Here is a 26,811-nt window from a genome sequence, read left to right as displayed (position 1 = left end):
TCTACCTTGGCCTCCTAAAATGCTGGGATTATAGGCGTGAGACACCATGCCTGGCCAGGAAATTTAAGTTCGAAAGATTGAATATTTTGCCCACTATCACACAAGTAATAGGTTGGCGGGGCTGAAATTAGAATTCCAAAGCTAAAATTTATGAACAGATGATACAGTTTGGATGTCTCCTTGAAATCTCATGTTGAGATGTAATTCTCAGTGTTGAAGGGGGGCCCTGTGGGAGATGTCTGGGTCAAGGGGGTGGATCCCTAATGGCTTGGTGCTGTCGTCACCATAGTAAGTGAGTTCTTATCTGATCTGCTTGTTTAAAAGTGTGGCCTTGCCCCCCTTCTCTCTCTCTTGCTCCTGCTTTTGCTGTGTGAAGTGCTTGCTCCTGCTTGCCTTCTGCCATGAGTAAAATGACCTCCCCAGAAGCTGAGCAGATGCTGGCACCATGCTTGTACAGCCTGCAGAACTATGAGTCAATTAAACCTCTTTTCTTTATGAATTACCCAGCCTCAGCTATTTCTTTATGGCAATGCAAGAAGGGCCTGATACATCAGACACTGCACATCTTAGAAGTTTATGACATGTTAGACATTGCACATCTTACAGGAAGAAAGGAAGCTACAGCCCATGCAGTCATTCCATGGATGAAAAAATAGGTCAAGAGAGCATATGTAATTTGTTAAAGGTGATGAGGACACCACAAGAAACCAGGTCTCCTGCCCTTGAGTCCAGGAGTTTTCATTGTACACCACTGTCAAACTGGTTTTCAGTAAAGGTTTTAATGACTCAGCCAGTTTCATGATTTGATTCTAGTTTCTGATGAGCAGTTGGTTGACTTTTGGACTCTTAAAGTATACAATGGTTTGTTGAATGGTAAATCAATTTGATAGGATTTGTTCTAGCACACATTTTTGTTTTGTTCTGTTTTAAATGCAATATGCACATTAGAAGGAAATTGAATCAGTATATGTATAGGCATTTAAAGAAAGCCTTTTTGCTTGCAGACATAGCTCCCCATCACCCACCTCAATTTCTCTCCCTAAAGGTAATCATTGTTATTATTTTGTGTATATTCATTTACAAATAATCTATGAAAATGCATGCATATATGTGTACATATCCTTTCTTACATAAGACACAAAATACCACATTGTACACAATGTGTACACTTGGCTTTTTTTCCTTAACGTTAGATATTACAGCTCTTTCCTTGTCATTAGTATAAACTGGATTCATTCTTTTTAACGGTTACAGAGCATTTCATTGTATGAGAAAACCTAAATATATTGATCTCATTTCAGTCAATCAATACTTAGGCAGTTTCCAGTCTTTTGTGATTGCAAACATGCTGCAATGGAAGTTGTTGCAGAGATATTTTTGTGCACATATGCCAGTCTACCTGTAAGATATTCCACTTGAAGTGGAATGGCTGCGTCATATGGTTTGCATATTTTGGACTTTGATAGATGCTACCAAGTTGTCTTCCGAGGGGTTGGACATGCCCAACAAATGTGTGTAGGAGAATCATCTTCAAGCTGGGTGACTGGGTAATGAGCAGTCTCTTCCTGTGAAGCCAGCCTAAATTGATGGGGTGGGGCCTTGAGGAGAAGCCTTCAGACTTCTCTGCTTGGGGTTGCCCTGGGCATCCTCCTCTTCCCAGCACATTCACATCTGAGGCTGCAGGCACCAGAAATCCAGAGGGCAGCTGAACTCTCTCCTGGTTCATCCTCTATGCTTGATTTAGAGCTTCCCTGTGCCACTACTCTCTAAGTCCTTGGCTTACCCGGCTCCAGTTCCTGAATGTATATTTCATTTGGTTATTTCTCATGAGACATGACTTCAGGCCTTTGGAGTCTCACTGGGCCTTGGTCTGAAGAGTGTGAAGAAGAGGGGAGGAGGAGGGAGAAAGGAGGAAGGAGGAAGAGAGAGGGGGAAGCAGGGGATGGGAAGGGAAGAGAGAGAGAGAGAGAGAGAGAGACTGAGGATGCTAACTTCCTTGTTTCTGCTCACGCTCACACAGTGCTCTTCTGGGTTTGTTTTCTTTAGATTTTGAATCTTCAAGGAGACTTTGAACCATGAACTTCGCAGTCATTTTAATCTGTTGCCTTATGATCAGCTGTGTCACTGCTGCCTGGCTTGTTTCTTTGCTTGCTGTCATTTAAACTCATAAGGAACTAGAGTTAGAAAAGATCTGAGGGAGCATGGAATCCAGTGGCTTCCAAAATATTCTCCTTGGAGAGGGATACTGTCCCCTGGAGGTGCCCCAGGGGTTCCTGAGAGGGGACTTAGGGTCAGGATCTACAGTGGGGGGTATGGGGCAGTCAAAGCTCTGGGTACTCCATTTGCCTTAATCAGAAAGGCTACATTTTTATCTTGCTTCTATTATTGGATTTTTGTGTAATATGATATTTAAAAAGGGCCTCTGCTGCCTAAAAAAATGTTAAAAAAAAAACCCCACCAGTTTAGTCCAATTCCCTCTTTTATATGTCAGGAAGCTGATCCAGAGTAGAAAGTTGATTTATCCAAGGTCATCTAGATATTTAAATGATAAGGGAAGGATATAAACTCTACAGACCACCAGGTCAGGGCCTCTTCTCTGGTAGAACATGAACCTAGTAGGAGCTGTAAATGAAGCTTAGAGCCCCTCATAAACCACTCGTATGAAGGAGAGGCCTAGCTCTCTAGTTTAAATTCAAACCAAACCTTTGTTGAAATTTCTTCGCTCCTTAAAAAAATGATTTTCACTTTTGCACTGAACCCATCTGGGAATAAATGTGTTGAAAGACTCTCAGAAAAGCTGTTCTCACCATACATATTTCTTTCCATCTAGAAATTCCAGAAGGACTTGCCATATAGTGCATCTCCGGAGAAAACTGTCAACATATATTTTCTGACTATATTCAGCTGACTTGATCCCTCTTCCCTCCAGAGAACTTGGAGAAGACTGAGAAGCACTTAGGCCTGTTCCAGAACTTCAAATCTATTTGAGGCATTGAAGTCACTAAAATGGAGGGATTCTTTGTTTGGTATTTTATTCCTAAAATCACCATTACTAAGATTGTTTGATCTGATAAATGAAGCATATCTACTGCCCTATAGGACCGCAAGACCAGGGCATTTACAAATTATGGCGTGGAGAGTACATGCCAAAAAGTACATAGAGAACAAAGACACAAAAGGCAACAATGTACGTAGAAAATGTAGACACAAAGGACTGCATATATTTCTAAGTCCAAACAAATGCATCTGAGAAATGATTGGAAATGAGACATGACAAAAATTCTAGAGAATAGAAGTTTCCATCTAGAGGTTCTGTTGATGCCTGTTCCCTCTGCATAGTAGCCTTTGTCGAGGGCAAAATTTTCATAACACCTGGTTCAGATTTTCCTTTGCTTTCCTTCAGTCTCTCCTAGTTAAGCCAGTTGAACCACCTTTAGAACAAAAAGCTGGCCAGGTGCGGTGGCTCACACCTGTAATCCCAGCACTTTGGGAGGCCGAGGCGGGTGGATCACAAGGTCAAGAGATCGAGATCATCCTGGCCAACATGGTGAAACCCTGTCTCTACTAAAAATACTAAAATTAGCCAGGTGTGGTGGCGTGCACCTGTAGTCCAAGCTACTCAGGAGGCTGAGGCAGGAGAATCACTTGAACCCAGGAGGTGGATGTTGCAGTGAGCCAAGATCGTGCCACTGCACTCCAGCCTGGCAACAGAGTGAGACTCCGTCTGAAAAAAAAAAAAAAAAAAAGTCCCTCCTTGTGGTGTTTAGTTACACCCTCAAATGCTTATAGGTATTTATATCCCCCTTCAGGCATCATTTGGCATATTCTACACATTTAATTCTTCTACTTTTCCCTCAGAAATGAATATTTTTGGCCCTTTGATCCTCCCTTTCCTATTCGGGGACACATGGAACCAAGCCATTGATGAGCTCAAGGCTCCTTCTCTCCAAATGATAGGGGGAGAGCAGGTACTCTGTACGGTGCTTGTCCCAGTACCCGTTCACAGATTTTCTTATGACAAGACACAGAGGAAGCTGTGGTTTTGAAAGTTATTTGCATGGAGTAATGAGATATTTGCATTGGGAAGCAAGGAGTGAAAGAAATTTGTATCAAAGGCTTGGCTTCTCACATGGAGTCTTCTGGAATTTCCTTGCCCTGGAATCCCACCCTCTTCCAAATAGGACAGGATAAATAGATCTGGCATATCACACTGCCATGCTCGGTGACCCTGGCTGCTTTCATTTGATAACTTAGATCTTGGAAGTATGGTGGGATTTGGTTTTGGTCACTGCTCGGAAACTGGCTTGATCTTCCTCCTTCACAGGAGCATCAGGAGGCCTAGGGAATCCATCCTGGGGAAGGGCGTTCAAGGTCCACTGTGATGATTCTGCTTTGGATCTGGTCTTTCAAATGTATGTGTTTGCTTGAACAACCATACTTCTCTCTCATTGCTGTGGCTGTATTAACTGTGTTTCCAGAAGTATGCTGTATTAGTCCGTTTTCACGCTGCTGATAAAGACATACCTGAAACTGGGTAATTTACAAAGAAAAAGAGGTTTAATGGACTCACAGCTCCACGTGGCTGGGGAGGCCTCATAATCATGGTGGAAGGCGAAAGGCACATCTTACATGGCAGCAGACAAGAGAGAATGAGAGCCAAGCAAAAGGGTTTTCCCCTTATAAAACCATCATATCTCATGAGACTTATTCACTACCACGAAAACAGTATGGGGGAAACTGCCCCCGTGATTCAATTATCTCCCACTGGGTCCCTCCCACAATATGCAGGCATTATGGGAGCTATAATCCAAGATAAGATTTGGGTGGGGACACAGCCAAACCATATCACATGCTGTCTTTTATGGGGAGTAGTGGAGCACAGATACTGGGTCTGTAATTCAGGAACCTGTGCTGGAGCATTAGGATAGATTATAAATGCAGTTTTACCACCTAATTACATGGAGGATTTTACCACGTTAGAAGTCCTGAAGTGTACAGGCAAGTGATGCTCATCGCTGGAATAGCAGTGGGCACTTTACCTGGGTCTCTGGGCGAGATACTGAGATCAGCACATGGAGAAAGCACTCAGTGTGCTGATTAGATAAATGAGTGGGACAATATTTCCTTTCCCTTCTATTGTCAAATGTTGTTATCAAGCAAAGACTGGACTAAGGTTAAGGGGAAGAATTCAGAGTAGAAGAAAGAATGATATGAAAGACAGAAGCAAAGAAATAGACTCAGGAATCAGAATCTCTTATCAGCCAGATATAGAACCCAAATACCTTTTAACTCTAGAGATTTCTTTCTTATGGGATGTTGCCTGTATATTTTTCTTGTCTACTTTTTAGGGATTGACTTGAGGCCAGGGCCCTTGAAGGACAATATGGAGAAGTCCTGGGCCATGGTGGGCTTTTCCGCTAGCCGGGATGTCTAATATGAGGAAAGGTCTATTTAGCCAACATAGCCTTGGTTTCCTCACTGTATTCATTCATTCCATAAATTTGTGTGCAATGTGTGTAAATATACTTTCTATCACTGTTGTGTAGCTAATATACCTATCTCTTCCCTTTAGTTCTAGTCACAGCTTCTCCCTTTTACTCTTTTCAGCATTCATTCACTTACTCATTCTTTTACCATCTATTCCATCATTCAACAAATATTTACTAGACTTTTAATATATGCATGGAGTATATTCTAACAGAGAAAGTGTGCACCATAGGCCAGTCTCTATGCCCTTCAAACTCCAGAGAACACAGGCCAAGCTCTCACATGGTTCCCTTCAAGCCTCTTCTGTTGGGATAGGTGGGTGTTGGAAATGCACAGGGCACTGATAACTCTCTCCAAAGAAATCCTCTCTCCTGACCCCCCAACTTGAGCTTTTTTTTTAATGGACTAGAGGTAGGTTTAGGGCCCTATCCACATCCCCACTTACTTGTAAGTTTTGCAAGGATGGTCCAGCATTTTTAAAACTATGGCTTTATTTCTTTGAGGTCCTCTACTAAAAGTCTGAGGCCATCGGAAGAAAGGAAGATTTACATTTAAATCTGACTATAATTATATGCACTGCTATGTGAGTATATGGTGCTAGAGAGGTCAGAGGTAGCTCTAGGAGAGATAGATAGATAGATAGATAGATAGATGATAGATAGATAGATAGATAGACAGATAGATAGAGACAGACACAGAGACGTGTGGGGGGAGGAGAAAGGAGGGAGAGAGGATGAATGAGGACAAGAGGGCAAAGGTGAGAGTCTCAGTCACAAGTGCAACCAAATCTGAAATAAAACCAGATGTTCTTTGATCACCCCTTGGCTATCTTTTCTCTACATTCTTTTTCTTGCCTTTTTCCTTGTCTTCTTCCATCTGGGTCAAGTAAATCCTACCTCTCCCAGTCCATGTATGTTTCGTTGACCGTCTCGCCAGGGTCTTCCATGTGACTTTCAGGGCACGAGCTCCTCTTCTGCAGACCCTCCAGGCCTGTGCTCCCCAGGACAGCGGGCACAGCGGGAGGCTGTGCACGCCAGGCCGCAATGCTTACCCTGTGCCCTGTAGCTTCTCAGGTGAATTAGTTACTATTTCTGACTCTCTGTGTTCTCATCCATAATGATGGTGGTGATAGAAAGGCCTACTGCATATGGTAGCTAGGAGAATTAAATAAAGTGCAAGTGAGAGCATGTGGTAAATCTCTATAGTTTTTTTTTTAATTCTACTCTATCGTTTCCAACATAATTTGTGTGCACTGCTGTGTATTTACCTCATTAGGTAGGGGTGGGTAAGTGATCATTATTCCTAAAGTATAATTTCCCTTCATCTCCTCAAAGCATAATTCCCTCTTTCTCTGCCTTAGAGCTTGAATGCATTCATGCATGCAGGTCCTTCGGCTGTACATCCATAAGTTCCTCGAGGTGCTGGGGCTCTGCCTTCACTCTGTTTTGTTGAGTTCCTTGACATTGTTGAGACACCCACCCGTTCCAAAAAATCTCATTAATTATCTGTGCATACATGATGGAGGATTGCTCTGAAGCCACTGTGGGACACTCACTGCAGTGAAGACCAGGGGCTGGAGGGCCTCTGTGCTAATAATTTGCTTCCCCAGACCATGTGGATTTGATTTTTGTCTTCAGGCCTCTTCTGCTGTCAGGAGGATGTACATAAACAAACAGAAAAAGGGCATGTGAGAAGGTGCCAATGAGGGACACAGAAGAAGGTGCCAGCACTGGCATCACAAAGTCAAGGCTCTTCATTGGCACTGAAGAAGAATCAAAACACAGCCATCAGTCTTTTCAGGGCCCCAGCTGCTTTGGATCAGAAAAACTGTCAGTGTGTGCAATGGGTAATGGAAACTCTTCCACACTTGCTTGCTAGAAGAGGCACTTTGCCGTGCTATATCTTAATAGACATTATTATCAGCTCTACTCTGATTCTGGATATGTGAGAAAATCAACAGCCAAGATCAGGGCCGACTGAATATGGCCTATGAGATGAGATTAATGCCTTACTGTAGGACTATTTTAGTGTTTTAGCAGAAAACGTCTGGTGACTATTACTGATGACAGGCAAGCTACATATGGTGAAGATTATTTAGCCATGTATTTTTTTTTCCCACTTTGAGTTGATTTCTTCACTCAGGCTAGGGTCTGTGCTGTATTCTTGGGTGCCCTCTCAGTGCCTAGCATGGTACCCAATTTGTTGTAGTGGCTCAATAAATATTTCTGGAATTAAGAAAAGAAGTGCTGATATTATTAATTGAATAAGGTGAGGAAAGGCTTAAAAATTCGGAATGTTAAACTTTTTTTCTTTTGCATTAGATTCATGCTGTTGGGCAAATTTTACCAAAGTTTCTCCTGTCCCGGGGCCTGGAAAAGCGATGAAATTTTATTAGACCAGAAGGAACAGGTATTTTCTCTTTGAAGTGGAATTGGGTAAACAGTGAGCTGAGAGGTGACCTGTCCAAGCAGCCAGCTGGGAGAGAAGGGACATGAAGTGAGATGAAGCCAGGAGTAGAGCATTGTTTTTTATCTGACTGTGGTGCCAAAATGGTCTCAGCAGGGCTGCTTATTTCCACGGGAGTGGCTGGCAAGAGTTTCCCCATCAGCTGCAGCTGGGGGCCTGTGCCAGCTTGGGTGCAGGTAGATGGCGAAAAAAAAGGCAGGTTAAAATGGGGCTGGCAAGCAACAGCCTGGTAGCCAGGACCACTGTGGCCCAGTCTTTTAAAACATCCTTCTCCCCAGTGTTATTTTGGCATGGATTATGGGATAGAGAAAGACAAGACACTGACTAATACAGAAAAACCCTTTTCTTTCCCAAAGTCACAGATTGCAAGGAGTTCAAGAAGCCTCTGATTTATTGGCTCAGAGATGACCCAATCTTGAAGGGAATTAAAGCGAAATAACATGGTTGTCCATTAAAAATATCAAGACCCCAAAGACAGCAAACTAATTAAAAAGTGTGTGGACAAAGGGAGAAAAAATAAAATTTCCAAAAAATTTCAGCCCCCTTCATCCCAACCTCCTATTACCACTCCTCTTTCCAAGGCAATGCACAGATTCCCGCAAAGCTCATCAGCTTAGAGGAGAAGGGAGATTAGTCCCAAGGTCTGAGCCCACCAGGCATCAAATAAAGGGCTGAGAGTACTTGAGTCAATGACCTCACCCTCAGCTTGCCTTCTGCCTGCATCTCCCCAGGCCAGTTTTAATTCCTGTTCCAAAGTACATGTGCCTTTGTGTGTCATATTTCATTACTGAGATCCAAATGCTATCTTTAAAACTTAGGCATATCTATTGAAACCTTGCTCCAGCTAGAGTGAGAAGAAGAAATCTGGGGAATTTGTTTGGTAGCGCTCACTCTTTTCTCACTGCACGGCAAACATTCTAGGAGAATTCTGCCAGGGATTAGGAGATCCTGTAAAGGATTAGGAAGGGCCTTTCTGAGGGAGATGGGGAGAGGGATTTATTGGAAAAGCATAATATCATGAAGACTCAAGGTCTGGAGTCAGACAGGCCTTGGTTCAAATCCCAGCTCTGCCCTTTCCTTAGGATGGGATCGCAGACAAGTTGTCTTCTTGTGGCCTAAATTCCTTCATCTGTAAAATGGGCAATAACAACTACTTTATGGGTTGTTGTGGGAATTAATGCAGGCAAGCATTTAGAACAGTGCCTGGAACATAGTAAGTGTTGGACTTATGCTCTTGGTTTTGTGGTTGTTAAAATAGAATCATAAATGAGAATGTGGCAGGGGAAGGAGGGAGGGATCAGACCCTTTGCAGGTGGTAGCCTGAAGGTAAATTGGGAAGTAACTCAAGAATATCTTTTAAGGGTCTCTCTCTCTCTCCCCATTGTTGGCCACACTTTTATTTTCCTCTCCCAAATGCAAATTCCTCTTGTTCAGGATACCCAGAGGCACACATATGGTACCACCAGAAAGTAATGGCCCTAGGAGTTCTGGCCTGGGCAGGGCAGATTTTTTTTTTTTTCTTTTTGTCATCCTGGAGCAGGGCCTTGGAGATGCCAATTGCATTCTGGAGACAAAAGACATGTATGTTTCTCTTCCTCTTCAGCCTGAGAGGAGAGGCACTGAAGAGAAAGCATCGGTTATTCCATTCTTCACCCGCAGATATGACAGGAGGGCAGAAGCCCAGGGTCACCTTCCCGGACGAGTTAGAAACTACAAACCACCACAGTGAGGATTCTGTGGTCTTTGAGCCTTACCCATCTTGTTAATTGTGTTTCCTCCCATCCTAGTGGTGCTTTGCAGTAAACTTCTAAAAGGAAAACAAATACCATGTGATCATTTTCTGAGGCTACAAGAAAGCAAAAGAGCTGGGGTGAATGCTTCCCTTTACATCTTGGAGAAGGGGCAGAAAAGCCCTTAGAAGCAGGGTAAGCAGTAGAGGACTTTGAGAGAAAATGAAAAGCTGAGACTGAGGCTTTGGGCTTGTTTCAAAGAGTAAAAGAAAAGATGAGAGCTTGCTAGAGGCTGAGACAACATGTGACCCCCCTCCAGACAGGCTTAATCACAAACTTCCACTGCCAAGTGATGCCCTGCCAGAACATTACACCAAAGGTGTTCTACGTCTTAGATCTTACCCTTATAGAGGTACCGAAAGGTCATTACCCTCACTTTGCGGCTGGAGAATCTGAGGCTTAGGGTCAGAAACTGAGTTACTTGACCTAGTCTCAGGCTAGAAAGTGGTAAATCCAGGATTTGTACTCATGAGTGTCTGATGTAACATGTATTATGTGTTTTGCCCTGGTGCTACAGAACTTTCTTCATTTGTTTTCATGAATGCTCCCAACTTTCCCAAAGCTCTTATCTCAGCTAGCAATCCTGAGTGAAGGATAGCTCACAGGCCAATTCTCAGTAGAAAGGTAGAGACTGAAAATTTCCTACTAAGTCACTCCTCTTCCTGCAATTCTAGAAGAGAACCTCAGAGAATGCTAAGAGAGGCAAACCAAGAAAGTGAATCTTGGAAGGTGGGATTTCATTGACGGTGGAAAAGAATGGGTAGAGTAGAGAGTAACATTGGGCAATAATTTATTTCTGGTATTCTTTTAATCACTCAGTGGTGATACCTGTTTATTGTGTCATTTCAAATTCCTGGACTTATTCAAATGTGAGTATTGTTCATTAGTTTCTGAGCCTCTTTTCCAAGTATTTTGGTAAGAAATCTTTACTGCTTCCACTTTGGAGCAAGCTGACAGGAAGGTTTGCTTTCATTTGACCTCCCTAAGCCCCATCCCATAAGTGAGCCCATTAATAGTTTATGTTCTGAGGTTGCTTCCAGTTCTTGAGTTATAGGATTCCTGATGCCTTGCCCTGTCCTCCATGCCATCCACTAACATCAATTACTACCCAGGTATTAGAGTGTGAAAACCAGAAAATATTATAGTTAGAAAATTTTTGCAGGAGCAAAATGATTAGGATTGGGGGTCAGGCAGGTAGGGTTAAAACAAGGTATGGCTAAAACAGGGAGTACCCCTTGTTGCTAGTCAGAAGAATAGAAGCCACTGCAGGTCTTCCAACAGAGAAGATCGAATACGGGGAATTGGTTAAACATGTTTCAGATAGAGCAAAAAGGGAACACTGAGGTAACACAGAGGTAATAATTACATGATGCAGCTACCAACCACAGAGCTGGCTGGGGAACACAGGGAAGAGGTTGGGAAGCTCAGAGGAGGGTCTCACAGAGCTAAGACTCAGACCTCTGAGGGAAGGGCACCACCCAACTGGTGCAGATATCTCAGCAGCCTGGGGGAGAGGTCAATGGGAGTGAGGTGTGATGAGGGTGGTTTTGAAGGGGCAGAAAGAAGTAGAAGACTAAAACCAGTGGTCACTTCCAGGATGAAGGGCCAGTGTTTGGGTGATGCTGACAGGAGTAGGGAGCAAGCAGGAAGGACCACGTGCCTTCTCTGGCTTCTACCTTGCAGTTTCCCTCTGGTGTGCCTCATTGGCAGTCAAATATAGAGTCACCTGGCAAAGGAGAGATGTGGTTTGCAGAGCCTTGGCCTTAGAATCACAGAGTGTAGAAGGCTGAATTTTGGGGCTGAGAGACAATATAAAAACTGGCAGGTAGGGTGAATAATGATGTATGGTTGCCAGTAAATCACTAATTAAAAGGAGCTTCAAACTTGATGTTTGAACAGAATATTAAGAGACTGTCTCTGTGGGAGTGTTTCTTACTTCTGCCTATATGTGGTACTTTCACTATTGTGAATATTGACCCAGTGTGTGCGTGTGTGTGTAAGGATTAGGAAGAGGGCTTGGCCTTTTTTTGCATCTGCAGGAGTCTACGCCATCGTGCTGGGAATAAACACTATTACTCTCCTCTCAGTTGTTAATGAGACTCCAAAATAAATGTTTTCCTTTAGATTACACCTTGTAATTTATGATTCCATCCCAGAAATGAAATTTCAGTGGATTGGGAAACGGGAAAAGAAGCGGGTGTGCTCAAAGAACTTAACAGGGGCCAGAGCTGGAAGGATCTGGAAAAAAGACAAACCTAGTTGCCAGTAAACCTCAGTTAAGCCTCAGGTCTCCAAATCTGAGAAGCAAGCTAATGGCTTATAGTCCTCTCCTCCTGCTTATGTAGTTCCAGGAAGACAAGCAGCTCACAGACCAGAAAGCTTAGTAACTGAACTTGCATAACACCTGGGGACATAAGAGACTATGTGTGGAGAAGTGATGATGGGACCATTTGCAGGTTGAAGTTAGTGCCTGGAAGTTGTTCATCACCTGCTCAGCAAGCAGAACCGCTGGAAACTAAAATGATGGTGATTATGCAAGAGAGGTAAATGGGAGCAGAATAAACACCACGTGAAAGGTGTCCTGATTATTGGATGAATTAGAACCGAGTTGCAACTTCGTGTTCCTTGCCTGGATCCTGTTCAGTTCTCCTTTGTCAAGCATTGGTTAATTTGGAGCCCACCATAAGAAAAGCAAAGTATAAAATTACATGTGCACTGTTTGGTACACTCCCACATGGTCCCAAAATAGATAAGTGCTGATCTCATAGACAACATTGTCTCCTGGTAGCATAGTTCTTTGGTACCACAAATTATCAGTGATAAAGAGAAATCTTAATAGCTCAAAAAGTTTCTAAGGACTTGACTGTTTCTTTCTGCCTGCAGGATCCCTGTTAACAGCATCTAAAGGTTAACGTAGCTGGACATATAATTAAATTCATTTATCAAAATGCAATAATGGTTGGGTTAAAGAGTCTGGGCTCTGGGGTCAGATGAACCCGGATTTCAACCTCTTTTCTCCCACTTATAAGTGTGATCTTGAGCAAAGTACTTATCCAAACCTGTTTATTTATCTGTAAGGTGGGGATAATTATGCTTCTCTTAACACTACAGTTGTGAAGACTCAATGAGACGATGCAAATAAGAAGGTCAACAGAGTTCTTGGTGCAAAATAAGTGCTCAAGAAATGTTTGCCATCTATCATTATTATTACTACTGCTACTGTTAATAATTTTTTCAAATTAAGCACTTACTATATACTAGTGCCAGGCCCTAGATAAATTAAATCCAGTCCCTGCCATCAAAGAGTTCATGACTTATGGCAAAAAGGTATTCCAGAGTCTTTTTTTAGGAAAAATGACCCGGTTCGGGTAGGTTGTGTGTGGATTCATTCTGGGAGATCTTAATCAGTAAGAGAAACATCAGGTTTGTAGGTGTGGATGTAAGAAGAATAGTGAAGTCAGGAAGGGAACTCGAATAGGCAGGGCTGATTGGGAGGGATCGAGGGAGCAGGAGATGAGGTAGAGAGAACAACTTTTTTCTGGGTGTACTGCTTTAAGTCTTAGGGGCCCAGAGAGCTAGATCAATGTAAAGGCACACTGCCTTGAACTCCTGACTTGTATGAATAATGCAATGGCATTGAGTTAATGATAGGGGCTTTATTAGATATCATGTGTGAAATGTGAATTTGTATCAAATCAACAACTTCTTCATGCTAAATGGCTTCCTACTTATGGCTGAAATAGATTATCAAGGATAAGGTGTGAAGTGTTGATTCCAAAATTGTTGGAAAGACCGCAACAAACAGAAACATAATCCTTGAGTTAGGAGTTGAGCAGGTGGGCCTCCTCTTGGCCTGACAGCAGGCCTTGATAAGTCCCTTTATTGCTCCTGACAAATAGGCTTTCAGTATCTCCTGTGAAGAGAAACAGGGTGGCCCAGTTATAAAAGGCCCCTTGAAAGATTTAAATACGCTGCCTTGTGTAAGATGAAGGGTGTCAGGACCTTGAAGACCACAGAGGAAATAGCTGTATGCTGCCAAGATTTAATACATCTAGAGGTTATTTAGGGGGCCATCTATACCTTGGTAAAAGGAAATAAAGAATCTGTCAATTAAAAGAGTTATTAATTTTTTTATACTGTAACAGAATATTAAATCTCAGTGAACATATTTATTTACCTGGCTGGGTTTCTGTGCAATTGCTAGCCCTGAGCTGTCAGCAGTCACTTATCTTTAGTGATCCCCTTGCAAATTTTGTGAGAATTTTCAGGGTTGATAGGGAATCACTATTCTCTTTCATGTTATTACAGTAATCTAATAAACCACCTGAATAAAAAAATTCATGAAACAACACTTCAGCAAAAGGAGATCATGGCTTTTGGGGTATAAATTTTCATTTTTATACAAACAGTGTTTTTCTTATATATACTCTGCTATTTTTGGTTGACATGTGCAAACAGACGAAAGAAAGCTTAATCTTGGGTTTAAAGAAAAAAGCCACTAAATGGTTTATATTTCAGTGAGCCAGTAAAATCCAGAAGTTTTCCCTCTGGATAGAAACTTTTTCCGCATAGCACGTATTTCCAGAAATAAAGAAAAGGATCATTTTCCCTGTGTTCTCTCTAAATTGGTTTGGCTTTTGGGAAGGGGGTAACATATGTGAGGTTCATAGAAAATTCATTCGTGGACACTGGAACCAGCTGTAAGGTAAAGCAGAGCCTGTGTCATGAGAAAACCGTGGTTGAAATACCTTGCAATTTAATCATTTTCAGATCTTATTTTAGTACGTTAGTGACTAAAACCCACTGAAGGAAGTTCATCAAGAGGCTTTATAAGCATATATGCCCAACAGCAGGTTCTCCCATGAAACGGACAAAAGCACTACATACAGTCAAGTTCCAGGATGACATTAAAATTCATTCAGCCTGTCACATAGCTTTACCATATCCTTCCATTGCCCCATTTTAAATACATTTGGATATATGTTTTTATTTGTTTAATTTAGAATGTAATAGTAAGGCTTCATTGTAAAGGGTTTAGTTTTAATTAAAATTTAGAAAATCATTTCCAGAAAGAAGTAATCTAAAGGACAATGCTATCTCTAATACTAAGGAAAATAACTAGGTTGGGTAGAGGGCCAAAAATTCACTTTCTCCCCAGGGGGAGGAGCAGAGTTTTCTTAGGAAGCTTACTGGTCCTGCCTCTTCTGGTTTGATCACCTTTTCTTCCGCCTTCTCCTCGGTTGTCCTTCTTCTCTTGTTCAGAATGCCCTGTACTATCTTCTGTGCAGGTCTAGGTCTCTGTAGTTGTTCATTGGCCGAAGTAGTTTCTTTTTCCTCAAATTCCTTCTGTTTGAAATTCCTTATTATAGATAATTTGGTTCTCCATCCTTGGTTCATAGAAGTCCTGATCCTTGGTGTTCATGAGGTAGAGAATGGACCTAGATTGGCCTTGAGAATGCAAAGATATGGATATAATGATGATATCAAAATTGTGATTGTGATTGCTCATTAAAAGAATGTTTATCACAGAATTTTTATAATGGCAAGTGAAAATGACTTGAATGTGCATCAGTAGTAGATGAGTTGAATATATTTTGAGAATATGGCATGGCTTTTAAAGAGAAAAAGATAGACACATATTGGCCTGGAAAAAATAATCAAGTTTTTGAGTTTTAAAAAAGGTAAATTGCAAAGCAATGTGTATAGTGTATATTAAAATAAAAGGGAAAAACCTCTCTGCATGTGCATTTTGATTTTGTGAGTTTGTATGAGCACAGAGAGTGGTGTGAAAAGATACACACCACACTTTACACTGACAATGTCTGAGGATGGATAGACAGCTGAGAGAAAGATTACGAACCTAAAAACTCATCTCTGTGTTTTTTATTGGCTATAATCAATATGTATCTCCTTTTGTAATTAAAAATCCAATCAAATTTAAAAGAAAGATGTTAACATTTTTATGTTCTCATGACATCTAATGATTATTAAGTTATTCCCATGGGAAATCACTGTACCAGTCTTTAATAAATTATAATAATCCTGATAACTCTACAAAGTGGTACTAGTATTAGTTCTACCTTACAAGTAAGGAAATTGAAGCTTGGAGAAGTAACCTGTGAAGTTCATACACTGATAGAACTTATTCGATCATGTATCCTTGTATCTAGAAACTGGAGATCTTATAAGGTGGGTTTAGGTAGAAGCACCAACAGACACAGAATTGTTATTCTCTAAACATAATTTCAATGTGGTCTATCCTTACAATGAAATGTTATTTGGCAATAAAAAGGAATGCAGCACTGATACTTGCTACTGCATAGTTGAAACTTGAAAACATTATGCTAAAAGTATCCAGTCATAAAAGACCGTATATTGTGTGATTCCACTTATTTGAAATGTCCAGAACAGATAAATCCATAGAGACAGAAAGTAGATTAATGTTTGCTTAGGGGTGAGGGGATAGGAGGATTGGGGAGTGACTACAAATGGGTATGGAGTTTCTTTTGCAGAAACAAAGTGTTCTAGAATTAGATTATGTGCACAACCTGGTGAACCTAGTACAATCCATTGAAATGCACTTTAAGAGGGTGAATTTTATAGTATGTAAATTATGTCACAATAAAGTTGTTATAAAAAAACTCTTATTAATGAACAGAAGGGGTTTGTTCACTCTTCTGCCTACATTGTTCCTGATTCTTCTGGGCAAAAATACTCATTCTGGTCAGGTTCCTTAGGTTTATTAAAGTTCAAGGAAACTTGCAAGATAGTATCAATGGAATGAATGCTCCTGAGGAGTTCATTTTTCTGTGGCCATAGGATGTCAGGTTCAAGAAGCTTTATGTAGGTCTCCCTCCTTCCTTAAAATGATCGTCTCAAAAGACCCATTTATTAATCAGAGGCTGCTTTAATTTTGATGGAGTTGCCAAATTGCTCCTAGAGTTGTGAAAAGTCCTGGCTCTAGGGATCATCATTAATTCTTTCTTCAGCCAAGTTTTTTTGCAACAGTTCCACACAAATTCAATTTCTCAAATTCTGTCTTCTAAACCTATCCTTTTTTCTTTCACTTTTTTCTCTGACTCATTAACACGGGTTCAATTGTTAGTTTACAATTGCCTGAGCATGATTAACAGCAGCTATTGTGTTTTACTAGTAAAATAGCTACAGCTACAGTTTATTTTTAAAATTAAAAATAAATTATTACTAACAACCAGTTGAAATGACTCTCAGAAGCTTTCTGTTATAATCCTATTACCCTTTGGGCTATGATGACTCACAATATAACTACTGAGATGATGGGAAAAATAAAAACCTCAACATGTTAATGAAAAGGACTCATAAAAAATCCAACAAATATTTATTGAGTGCAGGTTTTGTTTAGGACACTGAGATTTTTATGGGAGATAGAAAACCTGTTAAGAACTTAGGTGCTGGAGAGGATGTGGAGAAATAGGAACACTTTTACACTCTTGGTGGGACGTAAACTAGTTCAACCATTGTGGAAGTCAGTGTGGCAATTCCTCAGGGATCTAGATCTAGAACTAGAAATACCATTTGACCCAGCCATCCCATTACTGGGTATATACCCAAAGGACTATAAATCATGCTGCTATAAAGACACATGCACACATATGTTTATTGTGGCACTATTCAGAATAGCAAAGACTTGGAACCAACCCAAACGTCCAACAATGATAGACTGGATAAAGAAAATGTGGCACATATACACCATGGAATACTATGCAGCCATAAAAAATGATGAGTTCATGTCCTTTGTAGGGACATGGATGAAATTGGAAATCATCATTCTCCGTAAACTATTGCAAGGACAAAAAACCCAACACCGCATATTCTCACTCATAGGTGGGAATTGAACAATGAGAACACATGGACACAGGAAGGGGAACATCACACTCTTGGGACTGTTGTGGGGTGGGGGGAGGGGGGAGGGATAGCATTAGGAGATATACCTAATGCTAAATGAAGAGTTAATGGGTGCAGCACACCAGCATGGCACATGCATACATATGTAACTAAGCTGCACATTGTGCACATGTACCCTAAAACTTAAAGTATAATAATAATAAAATTAAAAAAAAAAGAAAACCTGTTAAGAACTTAAAATCTTTTAGGGGAGACAAGACATGAAGGACCATAAGGTTGAATAACAATGTAAGACTTACTAATAAATAACCCAAATGATAGATTTTTTAATTGTTCCAAGTATAAAAGGAGTCTTTGTTAATTCATTCACAAAACAACTATTTATCCAGCATTTCTTATGAGCAAGCTCTCCTGGGTGAACTCAGTACTTTTGTGTGGTTAGAAGCCTAATAAGAGCACCCTCTCTCTCATTTTCTGGGAAGTGGGATAGAAAACTCCTACACTGCAGGGAGCTGACAATCTATTGGGAACATAGGCAAGGGTACAATGCCTCTACTCCAGGCAGAGTGGCAACATCACCCCTAGACCCTTGCACTGGGTCTCCTGCCCTGGGCCCTGCCTTTCAAAGCCCTGTGTTAGTCCTCTTTGTAGAGTGAGAAGTCTATGTGGTCAAGAAGTCTTATGGTTTATGTGGGATTCAGGGAGAGGGATGGGAGCACAAAATTATGTTCTGGAGGGAAGAATGAATCTTAAAGAAGTGTGTTGTTTTTGTTTGTTTTCTAGATTCAAAGAAAGTAAATAAATAAAGGGCCAAGAGGATTCTATGAGGTAGGAGAGAATATTTAGATGGAATGACTAACTGTTAGTACTGGTAGGATGGATGGTGATGTTCAGAGAATGGGACTTCAGGCTTAATGATTTAGGAGGTGGAGATAAGGTCCTGTGTGAACCATGTGAATAGTTGCTGATGTGCAGATCAAGTGACCAATGGAGTCTAGAAGGTTTAGGAAGTGTAAGACCAGGAGATGGGGGACTCAAGTCATCCCAGAAGATGGCACAAGTTGTGGTGGAGTCTGTGAAGCAGCTGCCTTCATCCTTACCAGGCATCATTAAATATCCACTGGTGGTAGATGGGGGTTGAAATAAGGCAAAGGTAGAAGGTGGGCAAGCTGAATGGCATGAGCTTCATCAAATGCAGGAAGGATCAGTGGTGAGCTGGGAGAATGCCTACATTACTATCTGCCTTCACAGTATCTCCCAGAGATGACTGTAAGGGATCTAGGGTTAACATTCCACTATGTGGTTCCATGGTAATGGAGCCATCTGTTAGCTAAGGAAATTCTATAGGGATCAGTGGAAATAACTGGGTGGTTGGTCAACTTTGGAGGCTAGGCTGTCATGCGGCAGGCCCAGAGCAAAAGAGGGTGAGGGTCTGGCAATGGCTTTGAAGTTCAGATGGTGACAGGTGAGAGGGATGTACTAGTAGTTTCAACCTGTCTCATGGTTCTGGAACATTTGGAGCTCTGTCACAAAGTGATAAAACATAAATATGGCACTTTAGAATGGAATTTTGTGACCAAGTTTTTCAGTAATGAAACTCAGGTAATGGAGCGCTATTGCTGCAGCCAGCTTTGCAAAGTGTCTGTCTGTGTGCATCTGAGTAGGAACCCCATGAAAATAAATGCTCTTTTGGAAATGGGGCTGTCATTTTCTCTTCTCCGTGAAAAAGGACATAGAATATTCTGGGAAGACAGATTATACGACATGAAAGTGTGGAAGTATGAAACAGTGTGGGAATTTGAGGAATGACTAGAACATAGGGCTCAGAGATTGAAGAGGTGAAGACTTAAATTGTAGGTGGCATTGGGAAGGGCCTTGAATGCCAGACCAAGGAATTTGATTTTATCCTGTAAAATAAAAGGGGAGTGTCATGAACAGGACTGCGGTGTAGAAATGTAGAGAAATGAGGGCAGTGTAGAGAACGGGGCCACAAGGGCAGCAGACCTGTGCAAAGGTTACTGTTTTTGGCCACTCAGCAATGAAGAACACCAGGAAATTTTAATCAAGTCAAATAAAATGTGTACACAAATAGTTACAAGGTAGAATGTGATAACGCGAAAAGAAAGACTGAAAATGCCATCTGACCAGTTGAAGGGAATCAGGGGAAGCTTTCTAAAGGAAGTGGCATTTGGTCTATACGTTGAGGGGCAGGTAAGGTAATATGGTTTTAATTTGTGGTAATGAAAGAAGTCAATGAGATATTCTGAAAGTAGAAGTTGCCTTGGCTTAAAGTGTAGAATGTGTTTGGGGAAAGAGTGAGTGGTCCATTGAGTTTACAGCAGGGGTTCTGAACCTTTTGTTGTGCTGTGGCCCTGTTTGACAGTCTGGTGAAGCCTATAGAATCCCTAGTATAATATTTTAGTGCATAAATCAAAATAATAGGATTGCAGGAGAAAGCAATTACACTGAAATAAAGTCATCGATAAAATACACAAATTTATGATATAATAATATAAGTATTTCATTAGTACTGGAATAAACAACAAGGTCTAGTGGCCATCTAATCATGACTGTAATCTCCAAGTTGATGAGTTTAAGTGATATTTTGAGATATCTGCAATAACAGTAATGTAATACCAAAATATCTAAGATCTCAATTGGTGGTACAATTATTGACTAGGACTGCTGATACTATGGTTTGGTACCTACAGTCATAATTAAAGAAAGTACAAAGTTTGAGTAATTATTGAAAATAAAGATGAATGTTTTTTCCCATCCAAATTAATGTATTCTGTAAAGTCTATCTACACATGCCTTGGAAGTCATGGACTCCAGTTAAGAACTCCTTTAGAGAACAGGGGTTAGCAAATTAATATACCACAGTGTTACTCTAAGTTTTGAGCTCTTCTAGGGTTTTAAGATGGAATTTGATTTACAAAATCAAGATTTATTCAAAACTGGAAAGGTCCATGCTTACTGAGTCAACCAAGAACACCCACAGTGTTTTAGTTTTTCAAGCTCCAATGTGTTTTGCCTCCATTGCCCAAGAAGACCTCTTGATGAATTCTGCAGAATGAGGAGAGCATTCCTCCCATGCCCACAGAAAGGCATCAAGTACAAGGTGTGGAATAGAGGTGTGGGTAGCCTCGTGGTCAGCAGGGCAGTGTGCTGTTTATTTGTCTTCTAATCCTTGGGGAGAGGGGAGAGAGCAATAGAGACACTCTCTTCTGTTATGATACCATGTGCTGTTGCCCGGACTTTTTGTTTTGGGCTGCTTAGTTATTTGTTAGTTGGAAAAATTTTGGTAAAACACAAATGGAGCAGTTGGAAAGACAGAAGGACAAAATAAGCAGAAGGAAAAAGTGAGGGGGTCATTGGAAAGGCTTTTTTGGTGGCATATGTGTCCAGTGGGCCCAGTCTTGAGCACTGAGACCATCCCAGGTGTCCAGGGCTTTGTTTAGGTGACCACCTTTTGGTTTTGGAATATGACAAAAGCTGTGGATATGGCTGCTTACATTAGAGAGAAATAAGGGCCCGTTTGTTTTCTAACAGTGAAGTGGGAACAAGGATTTTACATATGTGGCTTTAGTCACAGCCTGACCACACAGAATGGAAAACTTTGGACACTCTGAGCTTCTGAGGCAGAGAGAAAATGAACTTTTCTAGTTCTCCAACTCTTCTATTCCCTCTTTTCTTCCCTGGGCAGTGTGAGTCTGTAGTGACAGGGTCAGCACTATGCTTGTGAAATTTGCTCTTTATCCAATTTATGACTGCTGTTCCTTGTGCTTCCTGGTCCCTGGGGACACCTGGCATGGCTTTGAGCTCAAAGTCCTCAGGGCATCCCAGCTAGGCTGCTTCATGGCTCCTGTCATCCACTATCAGATGCCTATGCTCACAGCAAATGTCAACTGTACCACTCACTGCACAAAGGAGTGATTCTCTCTGCAAAGGCAAAGAGGAAACATCTGATGTTGCAGCCAGCTATCTGGCTATCTTTGGGGAATGAACATGCATATTAATTTACTCTTTTGTTTATTACCTTGCTCACCCTCCAACACTTAGGTGGCACTAATTGCAATGTTTGCTAAGCAGGCTTCCCACTGCAATCCATCCTTTCAGTCCCAATCCGTTGGGCAATTACCACCACAAATATACTTCTAGTTGAGTGTAACAGCAAGCAAAGTGGACTGCCCCTTGGATGATGATCAGTCAGCTTTGCTGGCTCTTTAAAATGCAAAGATGAAATACATTATAGAAAGATTTAATTTTCTAAAGTTAAGAAATCCAAAAGGGTTGCCTTGGGAAAGTAGAGTGCATTCATAGAATAGTACTGTATGAAACTCATTTATATAAAAGGTACAAAATATTTGGGTGGGTCAGATTTTCACTGAATTTGTAGGCAAAATAGAATCCTGAGACAGATAGTTTGTCCTGTCTTGAATGGGTCCTAATCACTGCTTTGCAAAATTAGTTCACTCAACGACCACATGGGCCATAAATATCCTTTTTCTGCTTGCCAAGGATATGAATAAGCCAGAATGACAATCTAATCTTGACAGGGGCACCTGTGTTTATACTGAGTTCTCCTTTTCCTTCCTCTTGTAACACATGAACTTCCACCTACAACTGAAAAAGGCATGATTCCCCACAGCAGAGTCAAGTGAAAAGATAATAGCTGGTTAGCTAGATCACCACACACACCAAATTGGTCCCCAATTCCTCTTTCAATTAGGACAGGAAGATATCTCTGCAAATTTGAGGCAAAAATTTGCTTCTGTCTCAGAAGGTGGTTTGCAAGAAAGTGCAGAAACAGAATGAAGAACAGAAACATGGGGAAGCAAAAGAGGACTTTAGGATAAAACTCTGATATTTGACATTCATTTATGATTTTTTCTTTAAGTGACATCGCAGTGATGTGTGATAGAGAAATCTCTTATGGAATATGTGCAATTTCTGACCCTAATCTGTCAGGGTATGGAGTCAAGTAAAAGTAGAAATAGCTTGTGATGCTGAATGAGAAGGAAAAGGGAAATCTCTAAAAGTTAGGGATTTTTAGAACTAGTTAAGGAACATGAAGTTTGAAGTTTTTCCCAGAATCAACATTTCTGAAGATACTCAGAACTTTATGCTTATAATATTTCTATACGTTATGTTTATGTAGATATAAATCTTCTCTTTATTTGTAATATCACAAAGATGGGTAATTGGGTAGCGATTGTCTTTCCACGGGTTTGCAGTCGATGCAAATTTCTAGGTGTCAAAAATAAAACACTTTGATTTCTTTGATCTTACTAGCTGTGTAATTTAGGTTATACTGAGATATGTAATCTTTGAGTATCTTGAAGGGAAACCAGGTTGGCAAAATGGAAATTTGATGACTTAACATTGTTTGCATTGTTTTGCAAGGAAAAATTAAGTAAAACCTTAAGGAAGGTAATATACAAACATAGATTCATTATCTAAAACTGGGTTTTTTGGAGATGGCTTTTAGAATAAAGGTGCAGATTATTCAACATTTTTGGCTATTTTATATTTTGTTCCTAACTCCCCTAAAATCCTTGTTTGGCAAGAATTTTTATCAAATTAGTTTGGAAATTAAAACCACTTTTTTTAAAAGCAGAACATCTGACATACATAGCATATTATGTTGCAAATTCTGGCCATTCAATAAATGCTGGTTGCATAAATGCCAAGCTGTACACTAAAGTCTTGTGACTTTTCCCTGGTTCTGGGCATGTGTATAAGCATATTATACATTTTTAATAATAATTAACTTTTTAACAAAATGTGTTCATTTACCTTTTAATTCTCATAGCCTTATTATTCTGACTTTTAGACTAGAATATTGAGATTTGTAAAGTTTCAGGGACATAGATTTTACTTCTTTTTTGTCCATCATTTTATCACAAACAACTCCAAACCATTTCTGATGTTCTTCATTCCTTCCTAAAGATCGAAGTTTTCATTAGGCTAAAGAACTTTCTTTACCATTTCTTACAGTACAGGTCTACTATGATAAATTCTCTGTTCCTCTGATCTGAAAATGTCTTTATTTAATCTTCATTCTTGAAGGATATTTTCACTGAACCTAGAATTCTGTGCTTACAGTTTTTTTTTCAGAACTTTGAATATGTTGTTCTCCTATTTTCTGACTTGTTTGTGATGGGAAGTTAATTATCATTTGAATCTTTGTTTCCCTGTCTGTAATGCTTTTTCAAGATTTTTTTCTTTGTCTTTGGTTTTTAGCAGTTTATGATGTTTAGCTGTGGTGCTATTTGTATTAAGTCTGCTTGGGGATCATTAAGGTTCTTGAACTTGTGAATTTATGTCTTTCACTGAATTTGTAAAAATTTTGGCTTTTAATTTTTCAAAAATTTTTTCTGTTCCATTTTCTTTTTCTTGTCCTCTAGAACTCCAGTTACCTGTGTGTTTGGCCTTTTGATATTGTCCCATATGTCCCTGTTCATTGTTTTCCAATCTGTTTTCTCTCTTTTCTTTAAGATTAGAAAATTTCTATTGCTCTGTCTTCAAGTTCACTGACTCTGCTCTATTACCTCTGTTTTGTTAACCCTGTCCCTAAATTTTTTTCAGACATTTTATTTTTCCATTGTAAAATTTCCATTTGGTTCTTTTTAATAATTTCTGGTTGTGTGTTGACATTTCCTATCTTAAATTTATGAAAAACACATTTTTCTTTATGCCATTGAGCACAGTTACAATAGCTGCTTTACCGTCCTTTTCTGATAATTCCATCATCTTGGCCATCCTGTGGTTGGCCTCTCAGGGTTGTCTTTTTCTCTTGAGAATAGGTGACATTTTCTGTATGCTGAAAACTTTTGGATCATATCCTAAAGATGATGACTGATGTGTTGTGGAACCTCTGGATATTACATATTTCTTTGAATAGAGTTGATTTCTTTTGTTACAACAGGCAATTAACTTAACTAGACAAAAACTGTGACTGCTGCCTCTTGGGCAGCAGCTCCAACCTCATTGTGGTTGTCTTATTCTTATTGAGACTGCTTGGAAGCTTGCCCTCACATGTGTGGTTCGGTGGTCAGCCAGAGATTTGGGAAGAGTTTGTACAGGGAATTTAGAGCTTCCCATTTCTGGCTCTCCACATCTTGGGATTCGGCCCTCATGCTGGAAGCCATGAAAATAGGAACTCCACCCAGTGCTGTTTTCTTCTCTCAGTGTCAACTTCCAGAATCCACCTGTTCTGTGTCTTCAAGGAGTTGGTTTTCTTGTTTTTGTTTTCATCTGGAATTTACAGTTGTTACATGTCAGAGACTTAGACTGTTGGGAGCTTTTTGGGCCATTTGGATTATTTTTGAGTCTTTGATAATATTGGAAGAAGTAGGGCTTTGAAAGGGAATGCTCCTTTTCCAACTCTATAGCTGCACCACTGGTCAGTTATTCTTTGACTTAGTTACTGTACACTACTCCTCCCTAAGTGAATAAAATAGAGGAATTTTTTGTTCACCATCAAAACATATGTCAGCTTGAATCTGACTGTAGTGTTCAAACTAAACATGCACCTTTTCTGGACCCTTCTTAGAAGTCTAAGTAGTTAAAATCTTCTTATACCTTCATATTCAAAACAGCAAAGTAAGTTACAGGAATTATTATAATTATCTCTTTATAATAAAGTTAATTCCAAGGGTGGTATAATGGCTCATTTATTTCAAGTTATATTTGACATGGAAAATTGTCAATCTAACAAAAGAACTGGGGCAATCTTGTGGAGTTGACTATGATGGGATTTGAACTATCTTAATAGATTCAAAACATGGGAACAGTATACATAGTGCTGGTTAAGTAGCTTTGAACCTAACATAATGTAAGCCTGTTAAATTTTTTTTGTACTTAATGTTCTATTAGTTTAACTGTCAGAACAGTTTTCATAGAGAAATATTTTCATTTAATAGCATTTTCGTATGTAGTTAGGAACATATTACATGGTTGATTTTCAGCCTACTAAAATATTAGATACTTATTTATACAGTCTATAACATAGCCTAATAATAATGAACAAACATCAGATACACTTACTTAAGCACTGGGTGACATCAGTCTAAATTCAAAAAGATTCTAATTTTATTGACATCACCACTAGAAAACTTTATAAAATATTTCTTATACAAAACAGATTGTATACTGTTATTTTAGAAATGAGAGTTGCAGAAATCTCTTTGTTTTTCCCCTCTTTCTTTGTACTTTTGATATTACTCACTTGAGAAGTTCTTCAAATGCACGTCATTCCTTTCAAAATTCAAGGTGGAAAGGCAAAATGTTATACCATTTCTTGGCATAGTTTTCTGGTTTAGACTTGATATTGATTGATTTGTTCCATAGTGACGAAACTCTTTTTTTGGCAATAATTTTAATTAGCTCAATCACTTACTTATTCTGCAATTGCTTTCCTTTTTGATTTGTTCTATCATTATGGATATCTGCTTATGAAAATGAAAGTGTAATCATATTCCCTCTAAGACCTTTTATTAGATAGTGATCAATGTAATTGAAGTAAAAGTTCCATTTTGAATGCATCTTTCCATATACAGGCTGATCTATCATGTAGGATATATGTTTCCTGGGATTTATGTTTTGACTTTGCATTTAGTACATGATACAACAAGTCTCTGCTCCATTGGGAAATGGCGAAATCAAATTCTTTTTTTATTCTTATGGTAATATTCAGACTCATTTATTCAAAAGCATGAATAGCACTCTGCTTGAAAGTTCAGCTGGTTAACTTGGTTGTTAAAATGTTATTCTTTAAGGGAGAAGTCATTTCTTTTTTCTTCTAGTAATTATGTGCCTTGCACATAGTAGGTATTTAATCAGGATCTATTTGACTTACATTTAGTGGGATGAAAGAATCCAAACTAACAATTGTTCTTTGGGGATATATAATTTTCTTTCTTTCTTTTTTTTTTTTTTTTTTTAAATTTTTTGGAGATGGAGTCTCACTCTGTCGCCCAGGATGGAGTGCAGAGGCACGATCTCAGCTCACTGCAACCTCCGCCTCCCAGGTTCAAGCAATTCTCCTGCCTCAGCCTCCCGAGTAGCTGGGACTACAGGTGCATGCCACCATGCCCAGCTAATTTTTTGTATTTTATTAGAGACGGGGTTTCACCGTGTTGCCCAGGCTGTTCTGGAACTCCTGAACTCAGGTAATCCG

The 26,811-nt window shown here is 40.0% G+C and overlaps 1 long non-coding RNA gene across 2 annotated transcripts in view; it reads left to right on the top strand.

Moving 5' to 3' along the window:
* Nucleotides 1–26,811, top strand: part of LOC105379013 (uncharacterized) — a 406,546-nt gene that overhangs the window by 53,432 nt on the left and 326,303 nt on the right. The window contains exon 1 of one of the 2 annotated variants that reach the window (XR_007058805.1): nt 19,729–19,838. The exons of the other annotated variant lie outside the window; for it this stretch is intronic. This is a non-coding gene — a long non-coding RNA (uncharacterized LOC105379013). Of the gene's footprint in view, nt 1–19,728; nt 19,839–26,811 lie in introns of those variants that run through there. 2 annotated transcript variants of the gene reach the window in all.

Source organism: Homo sapiens, chromosome 5 (genome assembly GCF_000001405.40).
Source record: "Homo sapiens chromosome 5, GRCh38.p14 Primary Assembly".
Classification (NCBI taxonomy): Eukaryota; Metazoa; Chordata; class Mammalia; order Primates; family Hominidae; genus Homo; species Homo sapiens.
Note: the sequence above shows the minus strand (reverse complement) of the source record. Positions and strands in the feature narration are given on the sequence as shown.